Below are 2,387 nucleotides of genomic sequence, written 5' to 3' on the forward strand. Positions count from 1 at the left end.
TACATTCTTGAAATATGGTGATTTAACCCACGGCGTAATTGCTTACTGGAAGAATTACACACAACCTATAGGAAGTCATTACTAAGAAGAGTTCTTGGGTGTTACTCTGGCTCGGTGGAAAAGGTCATGATCAATTGGTGATGCCTGCAAAGGCATGGAGGGAGGTGCTTGGGGCTTGAATGCCATCCTGGACTAAGCTGATCTTCCCATATTTTAGAGCTGAGGAAACTGACTGAGGCTCTATCAAGGAAAAGTGACTTGCTCAAAATAAATAATTAGGCTTCAGAAGCAGCATTAGACTCTTGCTTTTTTCTGATTCACAGTCCAGTTCTTTTGCCCTAATCTTCCAACATACTGGTTTGGACCAAAGCTTATTGGGGGGAAAAAAAGAGGGGGAAGGAGAATTAACCTTCATGGAGCACCCACCCTAGACTGGAGACTCTCCATGAGATACTTTAAAAACATTTTCTTTTATCCTGTGAGGTGAGCAACATGTCTCCCATTTTACAGATGAGGAAGCCGAGTCTCAGAGAAGTGATGTAACTTACCCAAGGTCCCAGAGCCAGAGAGGGAAGCCTGACCTGACCTGGATCCTTATTCCTGCGTCTGGGGATGATTTGAACCCACACTCCAAGGCTAAATATTTGTCCACCCCACAGGTTCAAAAGTTGAGCATCCCTGCTCTCCCACCTACAGAACTAGCTGTGAAGGCTTGGGCAAGTGACTTCACTTCTCTGGGATAGATTTTTCATCTTTAAATAAGGACAATCAGCATACATTCCTTAAAGAATGTAATGAGGATTTAGTAAATTCGAGTACATAAAATGATGAATATCGGGTCTGTCCCATAGTAAGTACTCTTTTAATATTAGTTCAAAACAAACAAATCTGACACATGCGGCCTCACTCCAGTGCCCTGAGAGGCTAGAGGTGCTGGGATGGCCCACACAGGGCCCAGGGAGACGGCAGCCAGGCCCAGCCTCCCCGGAGCCTTTGCTCCGTGTTTTGGCACAAGGCCCGGGACTGAGGAGTCCCCATTCCTCTCTCCTGTCAACTCAGCAGAACAAGCTGTTTCAAGGGAAGGTGGTTCCCCTTGAGAAAATGTTCTCGCACGCCCTGGAGGCTCTTGCCCTGCACGTCGTCAGCGATCAGCCGGTACAGGGCCTGGGCCCCACCCTGCACAACCATTCTTTCAAAGTCTGTATCCTGCCAAGTCATAAAAGGTAGTGTGCGGTCTGGACAGCTGTGGTCTTCTAGCAGAACTCCCCTTTGCTGATGACTTTGAACCAACTTTGTCTCTGTGTGCCTCAGTTTCAGGCCCTTTAAAATGAGGTGGTAATGAGCTGTCTGTCAACTCTTTGGTAGGAAGGTTGAGAGAAACCACTGGAGACACTGCCTCTTCTACCTCATTTCCCATGCCTTCTGCAAATGTCTGCAGTCTGGCCTCTGTCCCCTTGATGCCAAACAAAACCGCCCTGCCCAAGGTCACTGTTGTAAATCTAAATGACACCCCTCAGCAGCAGTGGGAGCATTCTGTCCTGGTGTGTTCTCTGACTCTGTGGCCTCTGATTCCCTTCCTCCCCATCTGGCCACTTTCTCATTCTCCTCTAAGGGATCCTTTCCTTCCTTCAGTCCTTAAATGCTGCAATTTCTCCAAGGTTCGGTCCCCAATCTCCTTTCTCCTCACTCTGTATACTCCCAGGGTGCTTAATACCACAAGCCTGGACCGAAGTCACTCTGAGAGTATATGGAGTGAGGAGAAAGGAGGTTCTCCTGCACTGTGTATTCCTCATCCTCACCACCCAATCATCCAACCCGTGATCTGGATCTCAGAGAATTGCACGGCCATTCATTCAGTAAATGTGTAATAAACACCTTCCAGGTGCAGGTACTGTTCAAGGAGTAAAGTTTACAGCAAAGGAGAGGACATAGTCCCTGCTCTTATAGCACTTACCCTGCTTCTACCAAGATGTCCAAGGGTCTGGGGCTCCTTGTAACTCCCTTCTCCCTCACCCTCTTTTGCAATTGGCCACCAAGTCTTGCCAATTCTGCTTCCATAGTATCACTTGAGTTGATTCCCTCTTTTCTGGATGTTCTCATTGCCATGACTTAGTTCAGGCAACTGCTTCCAACCTGGTCTCCCAGCGACTCCAGGCTTGCCCCGTCCAATGCACTGTACACTGCAGCCAGAGCTATTTTTAAAAAACACAGGCTGGGCACGGTGGCTCACGTCTGTAATTCCAGCACTTTGGGAGGCCGAGGCGGGTGGATCACGAGGTCAAGAGATCGAGACCATCCTGGCCAACGTGGTGAAACCCTGTCTCTACCAAAAATACAAAAATTAGCTGGGCATGGTGGCGTGTGCCTATAGTCCCAACTACTCTGGA

General features: G+C 48.4%; 2 annotated features.

The window, feature by feature from the left end:
* Positions 541 to 1,042: an enhancer, noted in NCBI's record as "H3K4me1 hESC enhancer chr1:59387615-59388116 (GRCh37/hg19 assembly coordinates)". NCBI's record gives its function as "activates a minimal SCP1, AML or CMV promoter by ChIP-STARR-seq in primed H9 embryonic stem cells {active_cell/tissue: H9 hESC(primed)}" and the evidence as "EXISTENCE:reporter gene assay evidence [ECO:0000049][PMID:30033119]".
* Positions 1,043 to 1,542: an enhancer, noted in NCBI's record as "H3K4me1 hESC enhancer chr1:59388117-59388616 (GRCh37/hg19 assembly coordinates)". NCBI's record gives its function as "activates a minimal SCP1, AML or CMV promoter by ChIP-STARR-seq in primed H9 embryonic stem cells {active_cell/tissue: H9 hESC(primed)}" and the evidence as "EXISTENCE:reporter gene assay evidence [ECO:0000049][PMID:30033119]".

This window comes from Homo sapiens, chromosome 1 (genome assembly GCF_000001405.40).
Source record: "Homo sapiens chromosome 1, GRCh38.p14 Primary Assembly".
NCBI lineage: Eukaryota > Metazoa > Chordata > Mammalia > Primates > Hominidae > Homo > Homo sapiens.